The 14,390-nt window shown below is 53.2% G+C and overlaps 1 protein-coding gene and 1 long non-coding RNA gene across 6 annotated transcripts in view; one reads left to right on the top strand and one right to left on the bottom strand.

Moving 5' to 3' along the window:
• The window catches only part of RYR1 (ryanodine receptor 1), a 153,874-nt gene that overhangs the window by 90,902 nt on the left and 48,582 nt on the right, over positions 1–14,390 (top strand). For 3 of the 5 annotated variants that reach the window (NM_000540.3, XM_011527205.3, NM_001042723.2), the window contains 14 exons: positions 740–910; positions 2,401–2,460; positions 3,055–3,192; positions 3,714–3,826; positions 4,007–4,103; positions 4,359–4,465; positions 7,898–7,949; positions 8,079–8,144; positions 10,128–10,227; positions 10,549–10,628; positions 10,724–10,800; positions 11,405–11,478; positions 12,158–12,175; positions 13,288–13,368. In NM_000540.3, the coding sequence (NP_000531.2) occupies positions 740–910; positions 2,401–2,460; positions 3,055–3,192; positions 3,714–3,826; positions 4,007–4,103; positions 4,359–4,465; positions 7,898–7,949; positions 8,079–8,144; positions 10,128–10,227; positions 10,549–10,628; positions 10,724–10,800; positions 11,405–11,478; positions 12,158–12,175; positions 13,288–13,368 (1,234 nt within the window). The remainder of the gene's footprint in view (positions 1–739; positions 911–2,400; positions 2,461–3,054; positions 3,193–3,713; positions 3,827–4,006; positions 4,104–4,358; positions 4,466–7,897; positions 7,950–8,078; positions 8,145–10,127; positions 10,228–10,548; positions 10,629–10,723; positions 10,801–11,404; positions 11,479–12,157; positions 12,176–13,287; positions 13,369–14,390) is intronic. The other 2 variants (XM_006723317.3, XM_006723319.3) reach the window with 1 other exon arrangement.
• Positions 10,921–12,521, bottom strand: LOC124904710 (uncharacterized). The gene is made up of 2 exons (XR_007067250.1): positions 12,403–12,521; positions 10,921–11,342 (listed from the first exon to the last, which is right to left on the bottom strand). It is a non-coding gene; the product is annotated as an uncharacterized LOC124904710 (long non-coding RNA).

Consider the following 14,390-nt stretch of genomic DNA (forward strand, 5'->3'; position numbering starts at 1 on the left):
GGGTGGCCCTGGCCCCGGGTCTGCACCCAAGGCTCCAGAACACGGCTGTGGGACTCTGTGCCCTGTGTCTCTGCTTCCAGATCTTTCTGGATGTCTCTTGCATCTTTGGTCTTCCTGTCTCCTTGTCTTTTTCAGTCTCTCAGTGTCTTTTTCTTGCAACTTCTCTTGTCGCTTGAACTCTTTGTGGACCTGCATCTTTGTTTCATTCTTGAGAACTTGGTTTTGGGATGTGAAGTGTGGGGTTGTGCATGCTGTGGAGGGGGTATTGTACTGGGGTTCCTAGGGGATTCTGGAAGAGGACTGCTAGAAGTTGAGACAGGCCCAGAACGGGGGAAAATCTGGATGGGCCTGGGTTAGAAATTGGAGCCAGGCAAGCATGGTGGTATGTGCCTGTAGTCCCAGCTACTTGGGAGGCTGAGGCAGGAGGATCACTTGAAGCCAAGAGTTCAAGTCCAGCCTGGGCAACATGGCAAGACACCATCTCTAAAAATAAATTTGTTTAAAAAACAAGAAACTGGGAATTTGGGTTGTGGACTTGGGTCTGGAGGGTCTCCGGTCATGGCTGTGGGCCTGAAGTGTAGAGTCAGCAAGTCTGGGGTGGAAATTGAGGTGTCGTCGGCAGTTGGGGAGGGAGTGCCTGGTGTCCAGACTGGGGCCTGGGGTGTGGATGATGGCCGCGGGTTGGGGCTGAGGCATGGGATTGGGGCTTGGGCTGGTGCTGAGCCCTGTGTCCCCACAGTCCGGTGGCTCGGACCAGGAACGCACCAAGAAGAAGCGCCGGGGGGACCGGTACTCTGTGCAGACGTCACTGATCGTGGCCACACTGAAGAAGATGCTGCCCATCGGCCTGAATATGTGTGCGCCCACCGACCAAGACCTCATCACGCTGGCCAAGACCCGTTACGCCCTGGTGCCTGCCCAGCCCCGTCCTCGGAACCTTCCAGGATGCCGCCCAGCACCCACTGAACCCCTGGGACCTTAGGGAACAACCACAATGCCACTGAGCCCCCCAGGTCCCTGGGAGCCTTCCCTTCAGACCCCACTGAGTTCTTTTCCGGGATGCTGAGGACTCACTGTGCCCCTGGGATGCCCTGAGGACCCCGTTCAAGATATTGCCAGGGCACCACAGACCTAAGAGCCCTCACTGAAACCTAGAAAAGCTCTAGGACCCCTGGGACCCGCATGAGGACTGCAGGACCCCACTGCCCCCCCACCGGACCATGCCAAACCTGCTGAGACCCTGAGAGTCCCCCCAACAAGATGAGCCCCTGAGATCCTCTGAACCCTCCACCAAGGCCCCTTCAAGCCCCTTGGGACCTACTGAGACCCTCATGACCCCTCCTTCCCTCCCTGCCAAGACTGAACCTCTGGGTTCCTGCTGAGCCCTTGGCTCACCATCCCTTTCCTTCAGGACCCTGCTGACACCTGGGCCCTGTTGAAGCCCAACTAAGCCCCCAAGACTCTCAGGGGCTCAGGGAGCCCTGCGACCCTGCATAACTCCCCAGGATCCATGAACCCCAAGCCCGGGACTGTACCCAAACCTCTGAGGTCTCAACTGTCCTGGAGACCAAAATACCCGGGCTGTAGAACCTCTTAAGCTTGCTGGGATATCAAGGAGGCCTCCCGGGACCCCACTTACCCCTTGTGTGGGACAACAAGGACAATCTCCCTCCTCTCCGATCCTTTCCAGCTTCAGGGACTCTAAGGAACCCTCCCAGGATTCTGCCCCAAGACCCCTATAGCCCTCCCCCCAGGACCACACCAACACCCTGACAACCTACTAACCCCCTGGACCCCTAAAGACCACCGACTTCTCCCCTGCTACCACCAGGACACCCCTTCCCTCAGAACCTCAGGCACCTCCCAGGACTGCTGAGTCCTGCCAGGACGCCAGAGAGCCCTCCAGGGCTCCATGGACCCCTCACCTTGGTCCTTGAGGGCTCCCCGTCCTAGAACCCCAGTGAACCCCCACCCTGCTGATGCCCCCTTTGGCCCCTGTGTAACCAGTGACTCCGTTGACCTACGTGATCCCCCATGACCTCTGCTGACCCCTTCTGATCTTCAAAGACTCCCTGCCCCACTCTGACCCCCCAGTCATCCCTCTTTGGCCATATTTGACCTTTGATGAGATCCTCTTGTCACCCTTTGCCTCTTCCCAGACCTCCACGAGGCCCCTCGAATCCTTACTGTATCTTCAAGGTGACTCTGTGACCCTCCGGCCCCTCTAGGACCCCTTCTGACCCCGTCAACCTCTGCATCCTTTTGTTTCTCTCAGACCCCCACCCCCACCCCAGAAAAACCTCTTCAGTTCCTGGGGTGCTGGGCCTGGAAGGAAAGGGTTGTGGGTCAGGAAGGAGGATGGGACCTCCAGAGTGACCCAGCCTGGCTCTGTCTCCCCAGAAAGACACAGATGAGGAGGTCCGGGAATTTCTGCACAACAACCTTCACCTTCAGGGAAAGGTATGCCTCCTTCCTCTGCAAGCAAAAGAAGCAAGTCAGAAAGTAACCACAATATTAGTGAAGGTTTGAGCATTTACCAAAGACCAGGCATTGAAGAAAGACCTCAAAGGTCAGGAGTTTGAGACCAGCCTGGCCAATGTGGCGAAACCATGTTTCTACTAAAAATACAACAATTAGGCCGGGCACAATGGCTCATGCCTGTAATCCCAACACTTTGGAAGGCCAAGGCGGGCAGATCACCTGAGGTTAGGAGTTCGAGACCAGCCTGGCCAACGTGGTGAAACCCCGTCTCTACTAAAAGTACAAAATTAGCTGGGTGTGATGGCGGGTGCCTGTAGTCCCGGCTACTCAGGAGGCTGAAGCAGGAGAATCGCTTGAGCCCAGGAGGCAGAGGTTGCAGTGAGCTGAGATCGCACCACTGCACTCCAGCCTGGGTGATGGGGCGAGGCTCCGTCTCAAAACAAAAAGATGAAGAAGAAGAAAGGCCTCAACATGCACTCACCCATTGAGTCCTCCCAAAAACGGAAAGGGGACATCCGGCGGACACTGTGGGAAGGGTCCCTCACGCCGGCCACTCCTTCTTCCTCCCTTCAGGTCGAAGGCTCCCCGTCTCTGCGCTGGCAGATGGCTCTGTACCGGGGCGTCCCGGGTCGCGAGGAGGACGCCGATGACCCCGAGAAAATCGTGCGCAGAGTCCAGGAAGTGTCAGCCGTGCTCTACTACCTGGACCAGGTGGGTGGGGCCGGAGGGGTCTTTCTACTGGGTCTCTGGGCGGAGCCTGGCGGGGGGAGGGGCTTCAAGGATGTGGGTGGGGTCTGGAGATGACTATTAAGTTTTGGGGCAGGGCAGGAGGTGGAGCCTCGAGTTTAAGGCGAGGCTTAGAATGGATCGGGGGAGGGGTCTGCTGCTTAATCTTGCATCTGGGGGCGGGACAGGGAAGGGGCAGATCTTTAGGTCTAGGGGTGGGGCCTAGAGGAGATGCGTTGAGTTTGTGGGCAGGGCCTTGGGTGGGTCGTAGAATTGGTCGTGGCCTGGCTCGTGGTCCTGGCTCTGTGGGACCTGGCCTAGGATGGAAACTTAGGTCTGGAGGCGGAGTCAGGACCCTGACTCTGTTGGTGGAGACAAGGTTTTCCTTCTGCCGTGTGAGTCTTAACCTGAATATGGACTTCGACACAGCTGGGCAGTTTCATCCAGGGCTGGGAGTGAGAGGGGCAGGGTCTGGGGATGTGACTGTCCTGCTATCCCCTCCCCAGACCGAGCACCCTTACAAGTCTAAGAAGGCCGTGTGGCACAAGCTTTTGTCCAAACAGCGCCGGCGGGCAGTCGTGGCCTGTTTCCGTATGACGCCCCTGTACAACCTGCCCACGTAAGGCCCCCAGGGACAAGGGAAGCGTGAAGGGCTGCGGAGAAAGGGTGGCTGGAGAGTCTGGAGAATGGAGGGCCAACGTGATGGGGCCTTGAGGGTGGTTGGGGGCTGCAGGCGCATGGGAGGTCGGGAAGCACGGAGGAGGGCGCGTCCCAGTGACGTCACACCTCTCCCCTGCAGGCACCGGGCATGTAACATGTTCCTGGAGAGCTACAAGGCTGCATGGATCCTGACTGAAGACCACAGTTTTGAGGACCGCATGATAGATGACCTTTCAGTGAGCTGGGACCCGCCTGGGGGAGTGGGGGGCGAGCTGGATAGGGCTGGGGCGGAGGCCACCCTTGGCACACCTCCAGGGGTCGGCCCTCCACATCAAGGGGTATAGAAATGCCAGCTCCTGGCTTGAGTAGAACCAAAGTAGGGCGCAGGATGTGGGAAAAGAGAAAAAAAAATCCAGACCAACAGGGACATGGGGGCAGTGACAGGAGGGGACTCTAGAAACCCTCTCCCCAAGTCTCCCCTCTCCCACCAGAAAGCTGGGGAGCAGGAGGAGGAGGAGGAAGAGGTGGAAGAGAAGAAGCCAGACCCCCTGCACCAGTTGGTCCTGCACTTCAGCCGCACTGCCCTGACGGAAAAGAGGTGAAGACTCTTGCCAGGGCCCCAGAAATGCCCCCAAGGTCCTGGGGCCACCCCCAGCCCAGCAGCTTCCCTGTGCCTCAGGAGAGGCCCTCCAGGTCCTGGGGGAGCCCAAGACAGACGGATCTTTAAATATCACTTTGCTGGTCAGGCACGGTGGCTCACGCCTGTAGTCCCAGCAATCTGGGAGGCTGAGGCAGGCAATCACTTGAGCCCAGGAGTTCAAGACCAGCCTGGCCAATATGGCAAAACCCCGTTTCTACAAAAATACAATAAATAGCCAGGCTTGGTGGTGGGCACTTGTAATCCCATCTACTCAGGAGGCTGAGGCGGAAGAATCGCTTGAACCTGGGAGGCGGAGGTTGCAGTGAGCCGAGATCATACCACTGCACTCCAGCCTGGGCGACAGAGCGAGACTCTGTCTCAAAAAGAAAAGAAAAGGAACGTAAATGTCACTTTGCTAGGACAGGCACAGCCAACATACACCGTTGCATGGCTGAACACTTCACAAGGGCATGTCTGAGGGGTTCGTATCACAGACAATGTAGATTAACTAGGCTTTTCTAGAAGAAAGTGTCTTGCTCAAATAAAATCAGTATATTATGAAAAAAATCCATATGTATGACAAATTTCCAACAGACAGAAGTAGTGGGGAGGTTTTCTGTAATTCCCTCAAAAGCTTCATGTAGGCTAATGACAGGCTTAGTAATAAATAATTGTGATGCAGATGGCGCAGCTGCTGCCGCTGCTGCTGACAGTAGCAGGCAGCCATTCATCAAATGCTTATTATGTGTCAGGCACCAAGCTAAGCGGGGATATCTATATCCTCTCACTTAACCGCCACACTGTGAGACGGATTATTGCATCTCCTTTGTGTGGATAAGGGAATGAAGGCACAGGGATTTATTTTTCATTTTGTTTATTTATTTATTTATTTATTTTTGAGATGGAGTCTCGCTCTGTCACCCAGGCTGGAGTGCAGTGGCACAATCTCAGCTCACTGCAACCTCCGCCTCCCAGGTTCAAGCAAGTGGGATTACAGGCGCCCACCACTACGCCCAGCTAATTTTTGTATTTTTAGTAGAGACGGGCTTTCACCATGTTGGCCATGCTTGTCTCAAACTCCTGACCTCAAGTGATCTTCCCGCCTTGGCCTCTCAAAGTGCTGGGACTACAGGCGTGAGCCACTGCACCTGGCCTACTTTTTTATTTTTTGAGAAGATCTTGCTCTTCTTGCCCAGGCTGGAATGCAGTGTCATATCATAGCTCATTGCAGCTCAGACCCCCCACTCCACATCACCCCAGGCTCAAGAGATCCTCCTGCCTCAACCTCCTGAGTAGCTGGGACTACAGGCACGTGCCTCCATGCCTGGCTATTTTTTTTTTTTTTTTCTGGTAGAGATGGGGGTCTCACTATGTTGCCCAGGCCGGTCTCAAACTCCTGAACTCAAGCAATCCTCCCCACTCAGCCTCCCAAAGTGTTGGGATTACAGGCATGAGCCACCGCGCCTGTCAGGGATTTGTTTTTCTTACATAACGTGAAGTCAAGAGCTAAAGACTTCAGGACTGGGCAGTGGCACAGGGACACTGACAGGGGCCCAGGGTCTTTCTAGCTTTCTGCTCTGCCCTTCTTAGCTTTTGTCTGTAGTCCTGGGTGGATGCTGCACTTCTAGGCATCACAGCCACATGCCAGGCAGAAAGAAGGACAAAGGGTCCCCACTCTTCACCCTCAGCAAGATCTTTGGTCTCTCTCTCTTTTTTTTTTGAGACGGAGTTTTGCTCTTGTTGCCCAGGCTGGAGTGCAATGGCGCAATCTCGGCTCGCTGCAATCTCCACCTCCCGGGTTCAAGCGATTCTCCTGCCTCAGCCTTCCGAGTAGCTGGGATTACAGGTGCATGCCACCATGCCCAGCTATTTTTCTTTTTTCTTTCTCTTTTTTTTTTTTTTTTTTGTATTTTTAGTAGAGACAGGGTTTCGCCATGTTGTCCAGGCTGGTCTCAAACTCCTGACCTCAGGTGATCTGCCCACCTTAGCCTCCCAAAGTGCTGGGATTACAGGCACGAGCCACCGCGCCCAGCCTTCTTTGGTCTCTTTATCTCTCTGGTGAGCTTCCACACAGATCTCATTGGCCAGAAATTCTGACATAAGGCCATCTCGGGCTGCAAGGTGATGAAGAATTTGAGCATCCCATTTTGCATCCTGTGGGAGAGCGATGGCTCTGGAGTTTGGCCATCCAAGTTGAGTCCCAGCGCAAGCTGTGTGATCCCAGCCGAGAAGGGTCTTTGTATCTTAGTTCCCCCACCGATAAAATAGGGCTATTAACATACCCACCCAATTGGATGACTGTGAGGGTCAGTTTGTTAATATATACAAGGCACCTAGAACAGGCACTGACATGGTGTTAGTGTAAACACTCAGCAGGTGTTGGCCATTGTAGAGGAGACCCAAGCAGAAAGGGATTGGCCATACTTGTTATTGAGCTGACAGGTGGCAAGATGGCTCTGGGAGCTCCAGCCTTCCATCACTCCATTTTAGCATCCCCAGTGGAAAGGGAGTGCCTCCACCATTAGCTCCAGCAAACCTCACTGAATGGGCCAGGCGCGGTGGCTCACACCTGTAATTCCAGTACTTTGGGAGGCCAGGAGTTTGAGACCAGCCTGGGCAACATAGCAAGACCCTGTCTCTACAAAAAAATGGAAAAATTAGCCAGGTGTGTTGGTATGTGCCTGTAGTCCCAACTACTCAGGAGGCTGATGTGGGAGATCACTTGAGCCTGGGAGGTTGAGGCTGCAGTAAGCCTTGATGGCACCACTGCACTCCAGCTTGGCCAACAGAGCAAGACCCTGTCTCAAGAACAAAATAAACAAACAAAACAACTCCCAGAATGGATTTTACTGGACAGCATGGACAACATGACCATTTCTTACCTGTCATCATGGCCACACAGATAAAAGTCCTCATCGGCCATGCATTTGTCACAAGCCACCCTGGCAATGGCCACTCCAGCCACCTGAGTCACACAGCCTGAACATGGGGAGGGTTGGCCCTCCAAAGAAAACCAGAAGCTCTTTTTTTTTTTTTTTTTGAGATGGAGTCTTGCTCTGTCACCCAGGCTGGAGTACGGTGGCGCAATGTCAGCTCACTGCAACCTCTGCCTCCCGGGTTCAAGCAATTCTCCTGCCTCAGCCTCCCGAGTAGCTGGGATTACAGGCAAGCACCATCACACCCGGCTAATTTTTTGTACTTTTAGTAGAGACGGGGTTTCACCATGTTGGCTAGGTTGGTTTCAGACTCCTGATCTCAAGTGATCTGCCTGCCTCAGCCTCCCAGAGTGTTGGGATTACAGGCATGAGCCACCGCACCCTGCCCAGAAGCTCTTATAAGATGGGGGTCCTCTCCACCGGGTCCTGACCACTCCCCTGCTTACTTCCCCAGCAAACTGGATGAGGATTACCTGTACATGGCCTATGCTGATATCATGGCAAAGGTGAGGCCCTACCCCCCTCTTCTGGGGCAGATTTCCCTCTCCCCACCTGCAGTGCTTGTCCACAAAAAGGGCTGGGGCGGGATGGAGGGGTCTGCTTTGTTCATCCCTTAACTGATGCCCCCTCCCCAGAGCTGCCACCTGGAGGAGGGAGGGGAGAACGGTGAAGCTGAAGAGGAGGTTGAGGTCTCCTTTGAGGTAGGTGGGCTCAGGAGGTCCTGGAGGGAAGGGATGGGGGACCCTGACTGCAGTCATCTCCCATTCATTCAGCATGTGTTCACAGAGCAAAGCTCTGGGGACACAGCAGTGACCAAGTCAGTCCACTGGGGAGACAGATACACCCGCCAAACTAACACCACGGAGTGTACACCATGGTCATGGGGGAAGCTCAGGCAGAGGGGTCAGGGCTGGAATTGGGGAGGCTCAGGCAGAGGGGTCAGGGCTGGGATTGAGGAGGCTCAGGCAGAGGGGTCAGGGTTGGGATGATGGGGATACAGGCAGAGGGGTCAGGGCCAAGATGGGGGAACCTCAGGGGGATAAAGCAGCCCAAACAAGGTGCCTGACCCAGCCTGCAGGAAAATGTATCAGGGAGGGCTTCTCGGAGGAGGGGACTTCTGAGCAGAAGGATAAAAGGAGCCTGCCAGTTGAAGAAAAAGAGAAAAATGTTCTACGTAGGGAGAATAGTATATGCCAAGGCCAGGCAGCAAGAAAGAGCTAGTAAACATGCAATTCACCGATCCATTCATTCATTGAGACAGTTAGCAAGCATTTACTTCATAGTTTTCTTCACTGTTTCTGTGCCAGAGTCCCTTCTGGCATCTGGTGAAGACTTTCTCAGGATCATGTTTTTAAATGTATAAAATGAATTCATAGCAGAGGAAACAAGTATTGAATAGCTATCAAAATATTTTAAAAATGAATTTGTGATCCAGTAATACTTGTACATTGTTAATCTATCAAATAAGATCTAAGGCTGGGCGCAGTGGCTCACACTTGTAATTCCAGCACTTTGGGAGGCCAAGGCGGGTGGATCACCTGAGGCCAGGAGTTCAAGACCAGCCTGGCCAACATGGTGAAACCCCATCTCTACTAAAAATACAAAAATGAGCTGGGCATGGTGGCAGGCACCTGTAATCCCAGCTACTCAGGAGGTTGAGGCAGGAGAATCGCTTGAACCCGCGAGGTGGAAGTTGCAGTGAGCCGAGATCACGCCATTGCACTCCAGCCTGGGCGAGACTCCATCTCAAAAAAAAAAAAAAAAGATCTAGCAGTAGATCCAACAGCTACTATAATTGAGAAGTAGTGATGAACATAACTGATATTTAAAGACATCTTTGAGCCATTGTGAGTGAGTCTCTCTTCCTGGACCAAAAGAGCAGAATTTGAATAGGAAATGGTTCTAATTCTGCAACAATAATGTGATATGGAATATACAGCAATAATAATGTGATATGGAACCATCTGTAATTTTTTTTTTTTTTTTTTTTGAGACAGAGTCTCGCTGTGTCGCCCAGGCTGGATGGAGTGCAGTGGCGTGATCTCAGCTCACTGCAACCTCCACCTCCCGGGTTCAAGCAATTCTCCTGCCTCAGCCTCCCAAGTAGCTAGGACTACAGGCTCATGCCACCACGCCTGGCTAATTTTTTGTATTTTTAGTAGAGGCGGGGTTTCACTGTGTTAGCCAGGATAGTCTTGACCTCTTGACCTCGTGATCTCCCTGCCTCGGCCTCCCAAAGTGCTGGGATTACAGATGTGAGCCACCTTGCCCAGCCACATCTGTGATTTTTATTGGTGACAAAGCCACAGGTTCTGCTAATATCGCTGTGATTTATGGCTTCATCCATATAGGAAGGAAATGCTTCATTTCTGTTAGAGGGCGGAAAACATAAAAATGTAACTTTTCATCATCCAAGTTCACAGATGGCCTGGAGGCCCATGGGCCCAGGTTAAGACTGCTGCATGCCCAGCTCTGATTTATGTAGATCTTGCCTAATGCCTAGCCCCGTGCTAGGTACAGGAGATACATCGAGGGTGTGAGCCCCAGGGGATGGAGGGAGCTCATGGTTGAAGGAGTGAGTTGTGGATGTGGCTGGAACAGGGAGGGCAGAAGTGAGAATGTGAGGGGGAAAGGCTGGGCTGGAAAGCCTGGACTTGCCTTCATGTGTCTGCCTCCCTTCCCAGGAGAAACAGATGGAGAAGCAGAGGCTCTTGTACCAGCAAGCACGGCTGCACACCCGGGGGGCGGCCGAGATGGTGCTGCAGATGATCAGTGCCTGCAAAGGTGCCCCTCACATGTGCACTGGACTCTTCCGAGTGCACTCATCCTAACCTCACTCCTCCTGGCTCGCCCATTCCCTGTGGACCCATTTGCCGCCCCTCAATGCCTGTGGTTTGCACGCACACCCCAGCCCTTGCAGCTTCCCCTTGTATACCTGCCTTGCAATTTCTCACTCATCCTTCAATCACGATCACCCCTGCATGCACACCTTGGCACACTCTTAAATCCCCTTCTCTCACATCCCTTGGGATGGCTGTTTTCTGGTGGGTGGAACACACTGCCTTCCAACTGGGTGGACCATCTTTTTTCTCCCACTCCCTCCAGGAGAGACAGGTGCCATGGTGTCCTCCACCCTGAAGCTGGGCATCTCCATCCTCAATGGAGGCAATGCTGAGGTCCAGCAGGTAACAGAGGCAAAGGGACTTCAGAAGAAGGCAAGGAGGGATGAGAGGTTCCTGTGTGACTCCCAGTTTCTCCTCCCCTGCCTCGCCCTCTGCAGAAAATGCTGGATTATCTTAAGGACAAGAAGGAAGTTGGCTTCTTCCAGAGTATCCAGGCACTGATGCAAACATGCAGGTAGGTTCGAGTGGACCTCTTCTTGTTAAGCTGTGTTTGGTGCCACTGCCACCCCACTCCTGGTACCATTTCCAGTTCTGATTCTGCTCTTTCAGTCCAGGGAAAGAGACTCACTCAGAATCGCTCAAATAACAGGGAATTTATTATAAGAATTAATGTAGAACAATAAGGGAGGCAAAATGTCATAGACTTGAAGAATGAGTTGCATTATGAATTCCAGACAGTGGAACCAAAAACTTGAGAATTTAAGGGGAACTTGGCAGTGGGAGATTTAGGAGCTCTCTGATGATCCCAATTAATCTGCCTCTACTGTTGTCTGCCTTTATTCACCTCTTGCTGCCGGCTGATTTTTCCTACCCTCTGCAGCTTTTGCTAAATGGGTGGTTTCTGGTTCCTCATTATTTCAGCTTGCGCATGGTTCATCCTGGCCCAACCATATGTCCTAGCTTCTGCCAACTCTTCATTTCTGCTTCCTCTTGATTTCAGCGCATAGATGGTTTACTGTGGCTCTCCAGGCTACCATGGTGGGGAGCTGCCAGGCCCTGGGAGAGAGGAGGGCAGAGGCTTCATCACATACCCCCTATCTTTCCTTTCTTTTCCTCAGCGTCCTGGATCTCAATGCCTTTGAGAGACAGAACAAGGCCGAGGGGCTGGGCATGGTGAATGAGGATGGCACTGGTGAGGCCCTCCCTTGGGCTTCCCACCCCCTGAGACATCTTCCTTTGGGATTCCTCCCACCCCACCCCCACCCGCCATTGCCCAGAGCTCCCTTCCTCCAAGACACTGGTTCCCAAGGGCTCCCTCGGGTCCCTCCCTCTGCTGTGGTCCCCCAGTCCCACCCCCTCCATCCCCCTGGGGTCTCCCTCCCCATGTCCACCACCCACCTCCGCCCCCCCCCGCCACCAGAAGTCATTCTGTCTTGTGTTCTCACCCATCACTACATGGACCCCACCCTCCACGTGCCCCAAATGTCACGCCCTGGTTGCTGTTCTCTTATTAATGTCCCTAATCCGGGTTAATCGCGTCTCCTCTTTGCCGTGTTGTGACGTGTCTAACCTTTCTACCCGGATCCTCGCTCCTGCCTTTCTACCTCTATGTCTTCATCTCTCTCTCTCCCTCTCCATCCTCTTCTTTCATTCCCTCTGCTTTTACCCTCATTTCCTACCCTCTTCCCTGCTAATCCATTTCCTTCTGTCTCCTTATCACTCTGCCTTTCTCTCTGTGGGTTGTTCCTCTCTCTCTGTGTGTCTTTCTGTGTCTCTGTCCCTGACTGTCATTGTGTGTGTTTGCGGTCTGTCTCCCTCTCTTTTTCTCTCTTTTCTCCTGCTTCCTCCTCCCATCCTGTTGGCTGCCCCAGTCATCAATCGCCAGAACGGTAATTCCCCCAGCCCACCCCCGTGCTGTGCTGCTGTCACCCACCCCTCCTAACCCCGTCCACCCCTCCACCTAGGGGCTGAGGATCTGGGACGTGGAGGGGAGGGAGGGACCCTTCAGCAGGTGCACCCTGCCAGTGCAAAACCTGGAGATCAGGAGTCTGGGGAGCATGATTCAGGTCCCAGATCAGCCACTGAGAATACATGGGCCTGTGAACAAGTCTCTTACCTTCCCTAAGCTTCACTTTCCCCATGTGTGAAGCAGAAGCTAGAGAACATGGTAAAGATCTCTTTCCAGCTGGATATTGTCGGACTTCCAGACCCAGATTCGCAGTCCCGGTGTGGAGTGATCCCCACTCCCACCTACTCTGCTCTCTGCACCCCGACCTCAGATTGGTCAGTCAGCGTTTCCCATCCACCAACCGAATTGGTTGCCTCCGGCATCCACTCTGATTGGTGTGCGCCTGCCTCCTCTGCGCCTGCCTCCTCTGTGCCTGCTCTGGTTGGCCCATTTGCGGTCTAGCCTCCTCCCCTACCGCCCACCATGATTTGCTTCTTTCAGATGCCCATTCTGATTGGCCCTTGTTTACACGCCTCCCCTGTGCTACTCCTGGATTGGCTGCTTTCAAGGCATCTGGGCCAATTGGCTGGCTTTCAATCCCCATCCCTTATCCCTCCCAGCCCAATCTTCCCCTGCCCAGAGCCTTTGTGTGAAGGTGACCCAAACCCCCATAATCCATTAACCTCCACGGTCTGAAGGGGGGCTGAGGGCATTACCAGCTGCCTGAATGTCTGCTAGGTCAGCAGACTCTCCCGAACGTAACACAAGTGGTGACATCAGAGGGCACTGATGTAGAAAGACACTTGAGGCCCCAGCTTCATGACTCAGGGCCCCTTGGGTCTCCGTCTGCTGATGTCATGGGCTCTGAGGTCAAGACCGCCTGGCGTCATGGATGCCCATGGCCCTCACAGTGTCTTTGGAGTGGCAGCTGCTCCTCCCAGCACCCCCATGCTTTGTGCATGCGTGTGCAGTGTGCATGGGCCTTGTGCATGTGTGCGCTGTGTCTTGGCGCATCTGACCCCTCCTGGGCCCTGTCCCCTCCCTTCCACCTAGGAGAGAAGGTCATGGCGGATGATGAATTCACACAAGACCTGTTCCGATTCCTACAATTGCTCTGTGAGGGGCACAATAATGGTGAGGAGGAGGGGTGTGGGGTGGAGGGGAAGCCGAGGTTTGGGGCTGGTACGGAAGGGTTGACTGAATTAGTTTCCGCCCCTCCTCCTCCCCCGGTCAATGATGGCCACTCTCCAGCCAGTGTCAATCCACCTAGCTTTCAAAATCTCTCTGGAGGCTGGGCGCAGTGACTCAGGCCTATAATCACAGCACTTTGGGAGGCAAAGGCTGGTGGATCTCCTGAGGTCAGGAGTTCGAGACCAGCCTGGCCAACATGGTGAAACCCCGTCTCTACTAAAAATATAAAAAAAATAGCAGGGCGTGGTGGCACATGCTTGTAGTCCCAGCTACTCAGGAGGCTGAGGCAGGAGAATCGCTTGAACCCATGAGATGGAGGTTGCAGTGAGCCAAGATCGCACCATTGCACTCCAGCCTGGGCAACAGAGCAAAACTCCATCTCAAAAAAAAACCTCGCTGGAATTTCTGGAATCTAGCCACTTTGTTTCCCCCTCATCTCCTCTGGCCAGTCCAATTCCCCAAAAGCAACCTGCCAAAAACCAATTTGGCCAAAAATCAATTTGCCCAAATGGACAATTTGTCACATGCTATTTTCCCACAGGCGCTCTGCAGTGGCTGCCAAAGTTCTATACACGTGGTGGATTTCTGTACTTTAGGTCCAGAAAAGACCTAAGGGAAAAAACTGCCTGGCATTTAAAAATAAATCTATTAGAATCACTTGTTTATTTTGCTTATAAAATCTTTGCAGAGGAAAGATCTGTACAAAGGCCTACAGATTCTTTCCTATCTTAAGCAAGAGTTTTGTTTTGTTGTGGTTCAGCCAATTTAACAAGATTGAGGATGACAGCAAATTAATTACACAACATCAATGATGAGAAATGCAGTCTCATGCAGCAAACCTAGCTTACAACTTTACAGAACAGACAAAATTCTGCACAAAAAACATTCTACCCAATGCCATTTCCTATAACAAACATGTACAGTCTCAAGATTGTGGTTATAACCTTTAGCAGGTGATTAGGAAA

The sequence above is a fragment of the Homo sapiens genome, chromosome 19, assembly GCF_000001405.40.
Source record: "Homo sapiens chromosome 19, GRCh38.p14 Primary Assembly".
NCBI classification, from domain to species: domain Eukaryota; kingdom Metazoa; phylum Chordata; class Mammalia; order Primates; family Hominidae; genus Homo; species Homo sapiens.